Below are 14,940 nucleotides of genomic sequence, written 5' to 3'. Positions count from 1 at the left end.
ATCATCCTACTAACAAACCCCAAACTACTGCATATGGTCATGCTATTTATCCCCTTAAAATTATGACATATTTTAAATTACCATAAATCTTGGCAACTAATTTGATGACAAATAAATCTCTAACCTAGTAAAAGTAATTGTTCCCCCATTGATAATCCCTTAGCACATTAAAAAGTAAACAAATTCTGATAAGAACAAATACATAATAATCTTCTATGTATACACTATAGTAAATGAAATATTAATATTTTAGCTTCTGTTCTTTCTGTGGTTAAAAATAATGTTGAAGGAGTAACATCGGCAAGATAATGAAAAGGAAGTTTCCAGCACTCCTCACAGAAACATCAATTTAAACAACCATCCATGCATGAAAATACTTTGCCAAGAGCTAAGGAATCCATATGACAGATTACAACACCTGGGTAAAGTACAGAAATAAAGAAAGATGGATTGAAGATGGGAGTAAGGACAGTTTCACATTACTCACATCTCCTCTCCCCCAAGCCTGTTTCGCACAGCACAGTGCCAACAGTGATATCCTCCACAGAGCGGAAGAAGAGTGAAGTTAACACATGACTTTACTGTGGTCTTCGCCACCATGCCCCTTCAGGGCCAGCTTTCAGACCCACCCCAGTGCCAGGCTAGCTCCTGCAGCCTCAGGATTCAGGCCAGCCCCTGTAGATGTTGGCCCCATACCTGCCTTCATAGACTCGGGCTCTGGGCCCATCCCAATGGACTTAGACTCCAGTCCTGTAACCATGAACACAGTTACTAGGTCCACCCCAGTGGACCCCAGCAACACACTAGACCCCATGTACCCAGGATCCAGGCTTATACCTGTAGACCCAAGCTTCAGGCTTACCCCTGTGCACTGAGGCACTAGGCCCATCTACGCAAACCCAAATTCCATGTCTGCCTACTCCTGCAGACCCAGGCATCAGGCTGCACCTAGTGGACCCAAAGCCAGGGCTACTCATCTGCTTATTGAGGTACCAGGCCAGCTGTTTCAAGGACTCCAGCAGCAAGTGTACACAGATATCCCAGAAACATCCTGCTCAGAATCTCTACATGGGCTGCTTGGTGAAGGACTCTCTTTGCTGAAGCCTGTCTGTAAAGACTAGAAGAGATGAGGCCGGGCGTGGTGGTTCCTGCCTGCAATCCCAGCACTTTGGGAGTCTGAGGTGGGTGGATCACGAGGTCAGGAGATCGAGACCATCCTGGCTAACACGGTGAAACCCTGTCTCTACTAAAAATACAAAAAAAAATTAGGCAGGCATGGTGGCAGGCGCCTGTAGTCCCAGCTACTCAGGAGGCTGAGGCAGGAGAATGGCATGAACCCCGGAGGCGGAGCTTGCAGTGAGCAGAGATTGCACCACTGCACTCCAGCCTGGGTGACAGAGTGAGACTCCGTTTAAAAAAAAAAAAAAAAAAAAAAAAAAACACTGGAAGAGGTGCTTACTTCTTCAAATACATAGATCATAATGCAAGACAAAAAAAAAAGTCAAATAATCAGGGAAATCTGACATAACTAAAAGAGAAAAAAATAAAAGAACTAGTAACTAGCCCTAAAAAATAGAGATGTATGAACTGCCTGACAAATAATTCAAAATAATCCTCTTAAAGAAGCTCAGTGAACTACAGAAGAAAACAACCAAATAAAATCATTAAAAAAAATACATGAACAAAGTTAGAAGTTTAACAAAAAAATAGAAACTATAAAAAAAGAACAAAACAGGAATTCTGGGACTGAAGAACATAATAACTGAACAGAAAAAACCCTTAGAAAGCTTCAAGAGCATCCAAATGTTCCTCAACTTACAATGTTACATTCAGTATACTCGTAAGTTGAAAATATTGTAAGTAAAAGATGCATTTAATGCACCTAGCCTACCAAAAATCACAGTTTAGTCTAGCCCATATTAACTATGTTCAGAACACTTAAATTAGCCCATGCTGGGGAAACTCATCTAACACAAAGCCTATTTTATAATAAAGTGCCGAACATCTCATGTACCGCTTACTGCTAGCCTGGAAAAAGATCAAAGTTCAAAATTTAAAGTATAACAAAATTGTGATGGTGTTACACCATTGTAAAGTCAAAAAATTGTAAGTCAAACTACTGTAATTTGAGAAGCATTTGTACTTGATCAAACAGAAGAAAAAATCAGGGAGCTCAACAGGTCATTTGAGATTTGCCATTCAGCAGCACAGAAAGATAAAAGAATGAAAAATAGTGAAGAAAGACAACAGAAGTTACAGCTGAACATCAAGCAAACAATATATATATATTACGAAGATTCTAGAAGTAACAGAGAAAAAGAAAATGACTGAAAATTTATTTAAAGTAACAATGACAGAAAATTTCACAAATCTGGAGAGGAAAATGAACATCCAGATACATGAAGCCTGAAGAACCTCAGTTAGGTAGAATATAAAGAGATCTTCACCAGATATACTATAATCAAATTATCAAAAGTCGAAAATACAGTGTCGTAAAAGCATACTGTATTTTTGACTCCTCAGAGAAAGAAAAAGTGACTCTTCACATGTAAAGGAACCCCTCATAAGGACTATAAGCAAATTTTCCAGCAGAAACTTTGGAAACCAGGAGAGAGTGAGATTATCTATTCAAAGTACTGAAAGAAAAAGAAAATCTGCCAATCCGTCCACCATACTCTGCAAATATGACCTTTAGGAATGGAGAGATAAAAGATCTTCTCAGCAAAACAAAATCTGAGGGATTTCATTACAACCACAACTACCTGACAATAAATGACAAAAGCAGTTACTCGAATTAAAATAAAAGGATGTTAGCCAACAACTTGAGAATATGTAAAAATACAAAGCCCACTGTGAAGATAAGAATATAGTCCAATTCAAAATATTCTAGTGTGTCAAGGATGGTGTAAAAATCACTTTTAACTGTAGTAGAAAAGTTAAAAGACAAAAGTATTAAAATAACTTTATGCTAATTTGTTAATGGATACATAGTATAAAAAAGATGTAAATTGTGATATTAATAACAAAAAATGTGGTGAGAGAAGGTAAATATAGAGTTTTTAGATGTAGCCAAAGTTATTATTGGCTTAAAGTAAACTGTTATAACTAAAAAAAGTTTTACATAAGCAACAAGGTAACCACAAAGAAAAAATTATGTGTAGTAGGTACGCGAAAGATAAAGAGAGAAGAATCAAAGCATACCACTGCAAACAACAACAAAAAAAATTCAAATTACAAGGAGAGCAAGAGAGGAGGAAAGAAGAAAAGAAACTAAAAAGCAATCAGAAAACAATTTAAAAAGTGGCAATAGTAAGTGAAATAAATAACTGATTTAAATGTAAATGGATTATATTTTCTAACCAGAAGATACCGAGTGACTAAAATGAATGAAAAGACAGTATCTAACTATATGTACCATACAAGAGACTCACTGTATCTTTAAGGGTGTACATAAGCTGAAAGCGAAGGAAAGGAAAAATATTCCATTCACATGCTAACTAAAAGGGAGCACTAATTGCTATGCTTATTTGAAACAAAATAGACTTTTAGTGGAAACTGTCACAAGAGACAAAGAAAGTCATTATATAATGATAAAGGGGTCAGCTCATCTCAAGAGCATATAACAATTGTAAATATATGTGCACCCATTCATGGAGCACTTAAATATACAAAACAAATGTTAAGAGAACTTGAGAGAAATAGGTAGCAGTACAATAAGTTGACACTTAAAAGAAAAGACTGTGTAAGGACCAGTCCATAATGTAAATAAATACATAGTAGAGAGAACTGTCACTGCATGACTGTGAACTGTGGTCATATTTAGAGGTCCCAGGCTTTGGCATAAATTGGACTTGGAACAATATTGCCATATTTTCCAGCAAGTATCACTGGGACAAGTCATTCCAAGTTTTCTAAGTTGAGTTACATGTATGTTGAGCCTTTTATTGTCACATGTAATAGAAAATTCAACTCAAACCACCTTAAGAAAAGAAACAAAAACAAAAAGCAAAATGTAGAATTTATCCAGATAGCTGGTACCGAGGGAGAGTCAACCAAAACTTTCAAGCTTCAATTTTATCTATGTCTTGACTCTACATTGGATACCCTTTCTGTTTTCTCTCTTTTCCTACAGGCTTCCAAGTTCTGGTGATAATGTCCTTGCAAAATGACCCAGAAATATACCTTATATTTACAGCATCCCTTAGCAGAAAGGACAACTCTCTTTTCCCAGTTGTTCTCTAAAAACTCGCAATTGAGTCTCATTGCATTGTATCGGATACCATGTCCTCCAGAACAATCACTGTGACTAATGGCATGCAAAATTTTAATGTCAGTGTCAGGATCACATTATCTCAAATGGACTCTGTGGAATTAACAGCATCCAATCTAGGAGGATGAACACTTTAGCCATAAGAAGGCCAATTAAACAGAATGGGTGGCCGGACACAGTGGCTCACGTTTGTAATCCCAGCACTTCGGGAGGACAAGGCGGGTGGATCACGAGGTAAAGAGTTCAAGACCAGCCTGACCAACATGGTGAAACCTTGTCTCTACTAAAAATACAAAAAGTAGCTGGGAGTGGTGGCGCATGGCCTGTAATCCCAGCTACTCAGGAGGCTGAGGCAGGAGAATTGCTTGAACCCTGGAAGGCGGGGGTTGTAGTGAGCTGAGATTGCGCCACTGCACTCTAGCCTGGGTGGCAGAGCGAGACTCCATCTCAAAAAATTAAAAAAAAAAAAGGCATACATTTGTCCAATATGCTTCCCTTTCAGATGAAATTGGAACAGAGAATAGAATAGCACTAAACTTTCTAGTGAGTAACACAACATCAGGGAATCAAGTCAATAAGGAAACGAATGAGGCAATTAGGTCTTGTTGACAATAGCTTCTGTTATATTTTAAAAGGTGTTGGCTATTTTTAGATCAGGTAGACAAATATATCTTTGATTGTCTGTCTAGCTTTCAGTTTCCAGGAGTATAAATCATCTAGGATATTTTAATTTGAAAAAGTTTAAAGCAGTCAAAGTTTTTTTTTATCAAACATATATTAATCTTCATTTCAAAGTTTAAGAAGTATTACACTTGAGCTCCTGTATACTATTTATAAAGAATGACAAATCTTGCTTAGAACAAGCCTAATTTTTAAGAAGAAATTGGACTTCCAGCAATGCTATCATTATTAAAATTCTATTTTAAGAGATACATACCACTCTCCACTCCATAGTTATTATTCATACTTAATTACATAAATGTATTAGAGATTAAATGTTTCAATTTTCAAACAATTACCATTAGTTTATAATTTAGCATATGTATTGAGTTTAAATGTAAACTCCACCTTTAATATTATACTTATTATCATAACTAAAAATGCATCGTAACTGATACCTTCTGCAGACCTAGGTAGACTTAATGTAAGAGTAGAAGAGTGCCGGGCATGCTGGCTCACACCTGTAATCTCAGCACTTTGGGAGGCTGAGGTGGGCGGATCACGAGGTCAAGAGATCGAGACCATCCTGGCTAACACGGTGAAACCCCCTCTCTACTAAAAATACAAAAAATTAGCCAGGCATGGTGGTAGGTGCCTGTAGTCCCAGCTACTTGGGAGGCTGAGGTAGGAGAATGGCATGAACCCGGGAGGTGGAGCTTGCAGTGAGCCAAGATGGCGCCACTGCACTCCAGACTGGGAGGGAGAATAAGACTCCGTCTCAAAAAAAAAAAAAAAAGCGTAGAAGAGTAGTTAATATTTAACAACATTTCAGGTAAATACACATAAAACTATATAATTATCCCTTATCTTAATCTCTATGATTTTTTTTCTTTAATGAGTTAACTGTCGACCTTGCAACTTTCATATCAACTCAAGAAAAGAGGAGGTCGTTGTTCACTGACTAAAGAACAATGCAAATAATATTTATTTTACTGTATACAGTGATAGATGTGTATAATTATTTATTTCATTAATTGGTTTAAATATTTGATTCTATTGACCCAGAGGGCATTTTAATTACATGGGAAACCAACAGCAGCCATATGAAGTCAATAAATCTTACGTCACATGACAAAGAAAAAAGAGTGAATCAAAAACAATATCACATCCCTGGAGGGAAGCCAGAGATTAGTGCCACCCTCAAGGACTTGAAAGACTCGGGAGAGGTGATTCCACTCCCTGTTCAAATCTTCTATTTGGCCTGTGCAGAAGACAAATGGATCTTGGAGAATGACAGTGGATTATCATAAGTTTAACCAAATGCGACTCCAGTTGCAGCTGCTGTACCAGATGTGGTTTCATTGCTTGAGCAAATTAACACATCTTCTGGTACCTGGTATGTAGCCATTGATTTGGCAAATGCCTTTTTCTCCATTCCTGCCCAGAAGGCCCACCGGAAGTAATTTGCCTTCAGCTGGCAAAGCCAGCAATAAACTGTCACTGTCCTACTTCAGGGGTATATCAACCCTCCAGCTTTGTGCCATAATCTTGTTTGCAGAGATCTTGATTGCTTTTCCCTTCCACAAGATATCACACTGGTCCATTGCATTGATGACGTTATGCTGATTGGATCCAGTGAATGATAAGTAGCAAAACACACTGTACTTATGGGTGAGACATTTGAATGCCAGGGGATGGGAAATAAATCTGACTAAAATTCAGGGACCTTCTACCTCAGTAAAATTTCTAGGGGTCCAGTGGTGTGGGGCCTGTTGAGATATGCCTTCTAAGGTGAAGGATAACTTGCTACCTTTGGCCCCTCCTACAACCAAGAAACAGGCACAATGCCCAGTGGGCCTACTTGGATTTTGGAGGCAACACATTCCTCATTTGGGTGTATTACTCTGGCCCATTTATCGAGTGACCCAAAAGGCTGCCAGCTTTGAGTGGGGTCCAGAACAGGAGAAGGCTCTGCAACAGGTCCAGGCTGCTGTGCAAGTCTACTACTCCACAATGGAGATAAGGAAGAGTATGGGTGGAATACACGAGCCCTTAGGGCATCTCTTAGTATTACCAAGCCGTGTGATTAAGGTCAATGGGAAACTACAACAGCCCAGTCTGGGAAGGACTACAAATGGCCCAGACTCTTTAGAAATGAAGGTTTGGGGTCACTTCACCAGGTAAAAATCCATGACTGCTGAGGTGCTTGCTGAAGGCAAACAGAATATAGAATGAGTAGTAGAAGAAGGTAGTCATCAATACCAGCTATGACCACATGACCAATTGTAGAAAAGAAGACTATAATTGTAATGAGTATTTCCTTCTTATTTTGTTAAGAACATGTTTGTGCATGTATACACTTGTACTAACATATCTTCGTTTTATTTCCTTTCTTTTTTCTTTGTCGTGTGACATAAGATTTATTGACTTCATATGAGAATTTAAGTGTTGTTAACTTTATGTCATAGCATCTAGGTTGGAGATCGATGCGTTTTGGTTGTACAAAGGATAGCTGTATTATGTTAGGCATAATTATGACCGTATTATTGTCTTTATTTGAAGATTATGTTTGATTTCAGGAGGTGTATATGGGTTCAAGTCGACAACGAGTGGACTTGTGATGGTTATTACTGAGTGTCAATTTGATTGGATTGAAGGATGCAAAGTATTGTTCCAGGTGTGTCTGTGACGGTGTTGCCAAAGGAGATTAACATTTGAGTCAGTGGACTGGGAGAGGCAGACAAACCCTCAGTCTGGGTGGGCACCATCTAATCAGCTGCCAGCGTGGCTAGGATAAAGCAGACAGAGGAAGGTGGAAGGACTAGACTGGCTAAGTCTTCCAGCCTTCATCTTTCTCCTGTGCTGGATGTTTCCTCTCCTCAAACACTGGACACCAAGTTCTTCAGCTTTTGGACTCTTGGGCTTACACCAGTGGTTTGCCCAGGGCTCTTGGCCCTTTGACCACAGACTGAAGGCTGCACTACCAGCTTCCCTACTTTTGAGGTTTTGGGACACAGGCTGGCTTCCTTCTCATCAGCTTGCAGATGGCCTATTGTGAGAGTTCACCTTGTGATCGTGTAAGTCAATACTCCTTAGTAAACTCTCCTTCATATATACATCTATCTTATTAGTCCTGTCCCTCTAGAGAACCCTGACTAATATAGAGCTAGATTTAGGACTCATGCTTGGGTTTGTGTGACAATGACAAGGAAGTCGTAAAATACAATTCCAGTGGGTTCTCCCATGAAAATCGCTAGGTTTTATGTGATTAGAAATTGAATGTAATTTAAAAAATAGTTAAATCATAATGAATTTAAATATAGTGTTCAGAAATTCCGAGTGATGAATATGGATAGTTTGAGGAAGAAGAGATTGGGTCATTCAGCTACTTAATTTTGTCCAGTACGATAGGACTTGATAAAAGAAAAACTTCAGACAAATTAAATTTAAGGGAGTTTAAGTGAGCAATGAATGATTCACAAATTAAGCAGCCCCCAAATCGCAGCAGATTCACAGAGACTCCAGCACAGCCACAGTCATGTGGTGGAAGAAGATTTATAGACAAAAATAGAAAAATTATGTACAGAAATTAGAAGTGAGTTACAGAATGCCTGGACTGGTTACAGCTAGGCATTTGCCTTATCTGAACACAGAATAAACACTCAGCAATGTGTGAATAATTGAAGTATGGTGGCTGGGATTAGCCAGGACTTAGCTATTGTTACAGGCACATATTCCTAAGGTAGGTTTTTAATCTTCTCTGACTCTTAAACTAGGTTATGGTTCATCCACAACGACTCAAATATAGAAGTACAGAGTCCTTCTCAGGTGATATTTAGTTTGCTTTAACAGACTGTACAGTTAAACTGTACAGAAACCATATCAATTGAAAATTAGTAAAAGTAACTGAGAATATATACTCTGGATAAAAATAGGGTGATTCTACCATCTTCAAACAATACCTACTAACTTATGGGAATAGACAGAAACTACTTCTGGGAAGCTCAAAGCCACAACTGAAAAGTACAGATGAGAATAACAGAAAGGCAGATTATAGTACAAGAAAGAACTTTCTAACAACTCTTCCAGCTCAACAGTGGAACAAACTGATTGGGAAGTTAATGACCTTCCCAGAACTGGAAGGAATGGATAAAGAAACGTATTTATTAAACAAATATTGTTCTGGTCTCTATAATGGGAATGTTAAATATATTACCTTGCAGAATCCCCAGAACCACATGAAATGCCTAATATTACCCTCATTTAAATGAGGAAAACAGACCCAGAAGGTTTCCCCAGATCTCAGAGCTAAGAATTGCAGTGAACATGTAAAGCCAAGTGTATCTGACTCCTAAGCGTACAGTGCAAAGACTGCAACAAGCAGAAATGGGTTGGGTACCTACTGAAAACATCATAAAAGAGATGAGTTCCCTAGCTGATGACAAGTAGACTAGATGATCCTTACAGTCTTTTTAAAGTTTGAAATAGTATGGCTTGTTAAGGGGCAGAGGTTTAAGTTTAATTTCAGTCTGACATGCAAATTGTTTGCAAGCCTACTCTATTTAACTGCGTCCAGGACTGGTTAATAATATCACTGGTATTACATATAGAGTATACAATATACTGACTATTTCACTGGTATTATATATAAAGTATATATTAACTGTATTATATATTAAATGTACATATGTATACAAGATATACATATATATCATATGCATGTATATATCACATACATATATATCAGATATATATATCACATATATTTGCTATATAATATAGGTGAGATGTATAATATTATGTATAATATATATTATTTATATATACATATTTTATATAATATATAATGTGTTATATATATCACCTGTATTATATAGCAAATATATGTACATAAAATGCACATATATATATACATATATGTGTGTGCGTATGTGTACATAAATGTGTGTGTGTATATATATATGTATATGTATATAATCACTAGAGCTATCCTGCCTGGCATGGACTTTTTGATAGAAGTTAGCATTCTTCCAAGAAAATTTTCAACATAAAAGCCCGCTGAGCTTTACTTGCCTAACACCATCTTTCACAGCTTTGTCAGCTTCATGAGTAGTAATCCCTCAGCTGAAGGAAGCGTCAGAATCAGTAAGCCATTCGTTGTGTGGAAATTGACAGCAAGGCACAATACGCTCCACACTAATTAGGAATACAAAACTCAGCATTCTTATAGTAATTGGCAAGTCTCCAAGTAAGCTGAGGGTTACTGACAAAAGTTGCTTGTTTTGTTTTTCACTCTGTCTCATTTAAAGATGGAAACTTCTCGTAGATATTGCTTTATGGACTTTTGCATATGCATGTGCAAAAGTCTTTTTCTTATAAGCCATTAAAATGACATCATATTTAGCATTATTTTGAAATTTCAGTGAAGCATGTTAGTTGAAATTGAAGCGTGCTTCAGGTAACATGTAGCACAGGTTATGCTTTCTGAAATGGCATTTGGGTATAAGCCTGAATGATGTGATGAACCGTGTATATAGAGAGCTGGAATGGGCAAAGAAGGAGACATGAAGGAACTTAACTAGAAAAGATGACAAATGCTTTAATAGTAGTTTGTATTTGTTGTTCAAAAATTAAAACACAAACTGAATTTATTTTGCTTCTTGGAATATGTTCTCAGTGTAAGCAAATGCAACTGTGGAGAAACAAAGAAAAAGAAGTAAAAATAGATTTAAAACGGCTGTTTTCAGATAGCATTTTATTTGGTTGGAAGACAGAAAAAAAAAATAGTAGAAACAGGAAGAGGATGCTTGGGGAGTATAAAAATGAGCAAAGAAGGGAGAGCAAGGATGATTCCTGTTTAATAGCAAGTGTAATGATGCTTTTAAAATCTTTCCCTGCTACTACTCTAACTTGAACCTTCCCAACTGTATGAAACAAGATAACCTATTTTCTCAATAACCCTGTTATACTTGTTTCAATTTGTTATGTAATCTTTTATTTTTCAACTGCATTTACAATGGTTACAGTCAAAGGACACTTCAGTCTTCTAACAAGCCTTTATGTTCTCTGTCTCAGTAAATATATTAGAAGTGGCTATGCTGGTATATCTATCACTTAGGCATATGCATTCCCAGTCCTCTTTGCTTCCTGCATGCATAATCTCACTTTTCCTTTGCCAGGGAACAGTCCTGCCTTTGGCTGAGTCAGAACATCTGGATCCTGATCTCATGGCCCTTGGAAGATAAGCAGAAAATAAAATTGTTCTGAATTCCCAATGTCTTCCCTAATAAGCATTTTATAAGAGAATTATAGTCTCTTCGGGGAACGGAAAATGATTGAAATGACCACATTCAATCCTAGACTGAAGCTGTAATTCTAAACTATCTGAGAAAGTGGAGCAGGACTGCAAGCAGTTCAGGGGGCCCTGACATTCATGCTGAAACTGAAGGAGTGACAGCAAGAATCAATCAGAAAAAGATTAAAACTTTTGGCACTCAGAAAAAGATGTATCTTGGCAAATTAGCAAATTTTCATCAAATCACTGAAACAAGCCTATTTGGAAAACATGAAATGCTGGATAACAAAATTTTAACTGACCCACTTTACATGCAAAGAAGAAAACATCTGGTTAGCAGAAATTCCTTTCATGTACCCTCAAGTTTAGAAAATATGGCTATATAAAGTTGATATTTTTCTGTTTAGAAGAAAAATAGTAAATTATTATAGTAACTAGATAATTTAAACGTCTAAGCTAATCTACTGGTTCAAATTAAATGCGTGTTCCGTACAACTCTCTTTTGCACTGTCAAGCCAGTGACATTTAGGTGGGGAAGCTATCTGACACAAAAAGAGTAGAGACATGCTTCGTTTTTTTCTCATTAACTCTTCAAATAATTTGTTAAAACATGATAATGAAAAATAATGAACTTTATACATGTGAGTAAACATCTACTTCTCCTTAGGTTGCTACCTCCATTCTCTCATGTTGTTCTTTTCAAGAATTTAAAATGATGAAAAAGCTGCAAAAGCAGTAAAAATAATATTTCTTACTTCCTGCACCCAGATTCCCCAATTTTCAACATTTTACCATATTTTCTATGCCAGTCGATTTCCCTCTCTCACATACACATGCACACACAAACACACATACACACACATCTACTGTGTACCTCTTAAAATATGACCACAAATTATTTGACAATTATCCTTATGAAATGTGAGGTTTTTTATTCCCGGTGGGACTGTGAAGAACAGACAGGTGGAATTGACAATAGACTAGGTCAGTCAAACACCCTAAGTTTATACTGTGACACCCCAGGCTAGGTCATAAAAAGCCTGATGCTTGTGATGACTTTGTAATGTGTTAACTTGGCTAGACTGAACTTGAACTGCATATTCCAGAATTTCCTTTCGTGTGTGTTTCTACTTAGTGTGGAATTAAATAGAAATTTCAGGACAAATGAAGATTGTAGGGTTATTTGGAGTAAGGAAGAAAAGGAGAAGACATGTCGCAGCTCATAGAGACTTTTGCTGATCTGCTAACTCATCTCACTGACTTGAAGCCATGGCTGTCTGCAGCTTCTATCTTCCCCTAGGTCTTCCTTCACTTCTTTGACTTTTAGGCCAGACGTGTGTGTGTGTGTGTGTGTGTGTGTGTCTTTGTCTTTATCTCCACAACAAAAAGGCCCAGCTTCTTCAGAATATACTTGTCACTAGAGTCAGAGGCAGAAACAACTAATGTGAATTTCAGTCTGTCCTCATGAGGTTCTAATTAGTGCTTGTGAGTTCTAGCTTGCGCTTGACTTCACCAACTTACGTGCATGTTCCCTTCCTCACTTTCGGCTCTGTAGACTTCAACTCCAGTATCAGTTGCAAGATGACAGCTTTATAGAGGCTGCGTAACCCACTTCCCCAAAGGTGCAAGACCAAATTCTGGTAATAACATTATATATGTATATATTTGAAAGAATCTATTATATATTTATGTATAAGTATGTATGTGTGTGTGTATGTATATGCATATATATGTACGTGTGTATATATATGTAATATATACACACACACATTTCTCCCTCTCTCTTCCTTTCTCTTACTTGATTTAAACAGAATTGTGTACCAGAGTGGTCCTAGAGAAATAGAATCTTAAGGATAAGTTCTCTCCTTAATTAGTTCTGAATATTCTGGCTATGATTCTCTGTTTTGAGCATATTAAAGGCATAATGACCTTGTTTCCATTGGTAAAGGGGGACTAGTAGTTCACGGCATGCAGTGGCAAACATTTATCCAAAATATCATTTGTAGATACCTGTAGTCGAGTGCCTATAGAAGGCATGGCTCTGGGTAACAAAGTATTTGCTACATTAGAATATTTAGTCAAAATTAGTGGTATTATGGGGTTAGTTGGTGTATGAGTTTCCTAATGGCTGCCATAACAAAGTACCATAACCTGGGTGCAACAGGAATTAAATCTGCCCTACGTGAGCCCTAAGCCCCCTAGCAGATAGAACTAGGATCAGTGCATACAAATTAGAGGACAACAATGTTTGGCCCAAATAACGAAAAACATTTTTAATGCACAGAGCAATCCAAGGATAAAATAAGTTGTCTTCAAAGAACAATGAGTTTTCTTACTGAAGATCTCCACGCTCTGGCTGAACAACTTGAAAAATACGGAAGTACACTATAATGACGCACATCCAAGCATCATATTGTTGATAAGCCTTTATAACTTTTAATATCCCTGTCATTGACTCTGTGGCTAGCAGTTAGTGAGGACAGAAGTTTTATATTTGCATTTATAAATCACATAAAGCATCTACAAAATGAGTGTGTAAAACATATATTGAAATTGATATTTTGAATTTATTATTTCACAGTAAATATGATAAAGTTATACATATTATACAGTAATTATAATGTATCAGGAAATACTGTATAATTATTATTTTATCTTTTGTAAAAATGAAAAAGATTCAAAATAAAATTCAATCATGGTATTTGCTTTTATTATAAACATTATTTATTGTATGTATTAGCTATAACCAATATATTGTTGAGCAACAAACTGCACCAAAACATAATAGCTTAAAACAACTAACATTTTTTTGTTTCTTACTTACCTATGGGTTCACTGAATAGGTCTGCTGAGCTAGTGAGGCTTAGCTGCTCCCAACTGAGATTGCTCAAGCATCTGTGATCAGGCGAAGAGTTAGCTAAACACAGACTGTCTGGGATAGTTGGAACCATTAGGATTTGTCCACATGTCTCATACTACAGCAAGCTAGCCTAAGGTTTTTCTTAGGTCTTGGTAGAATCCCAAGAGACCAGAGACATGCAGGCTTCCCTAAGACCTAGGCTTGAAACTGGCACACCATCGTTTCCAACATATTCTATGGGCCAAAGCAAGTCACATCGCCAGTACAGCAAATAGATTCTACCTCTTGATGAAAGACACAAAGTTAAATTGCCTGGGGCATGGATACCAAGAGAGTAGAAAAATGGGAAAACTTTAGCAATCAATCTGTCACACTGAAAAAGAATGTTTTGACATGTCTTACTAGGTATACGGCAAGAATTGAACTGATATTACTTATTATATATGTAATAATATTTAATAACCAATTAATATTGATTATTAAAATTATTAATACAAGAAGTATAAATCATTAATTTTAGAATGATTTACTTTAGTATTATTTAACTGTTAAATGGTTATGCTTTGCTGTATTTGCAAACTCAGTAGGAGAGTTGTATTAGTTTCCATTTGCTGTATAACAAATTATCTTGAATTTGGCAGTTTAAAAGAACATACATAGATTGTCTAACTATTTCCGTGGATTAGGAACCTGGGAATGGCCTAATTGAGTCTTCTGCTTAGGGTCTCACAAAGCTGAAATTAAGGTGTCGGCTGGGGCTGGTGTCTCATCTAAGGTTTAGAAGGCCATAAAGTCATTGGCAAATTTAACTTCTGTGTGATTACCTAACTCTTGGTGGCCTGCTACTCCAAAACC

General features: G+C 37.0%; 1 long non-coding RNA gene across 1 annotated transcript in view, besides 1 other annotated feature; it reads left to right on the top strand.

The window, feature by feature from the left end:
• Positions 1–14,940, top strand: part of LOC105372762 (uncharacterized) — a 54,823-nt gene that overhangs the window by 31,036 nt on the left and 8,847 nt on the right. The gene's annotated exons all lie outside the window — the stretch shown is intronic.
• Positions 10,981–11,275: a silencer, noted in NCBI's record as "tiled region #7095; K562 Repressive non-DNase unmatched - State 24:Quies". NCBI's record gives its function as "represses a minimal TATA promoter and a strong SV40 promoter by Sharpr-MPRA in K562 cells {active_cell/tissue: K562}" and the evidence as "EXISTENCE:reporter gene assay evidence [ECO:0000049][PMID:27701403]".

Source organism: Homo sapiens, chromosome 21 (assembly GCF_000001405.40).
Source record: "Homo sapiens chromosome 21, GRCh38.p14 Primary Assembly".
Taxonomy (NCBI): domain Eukaryota; kingdom Metazoa; phylum Chordata; class Mammalia; order Primates; family Hominidae; genus Homo; species Homo sapiens.
This window is presented reverse-complemented; position numbering and strand designations above follow the sequence as displayed.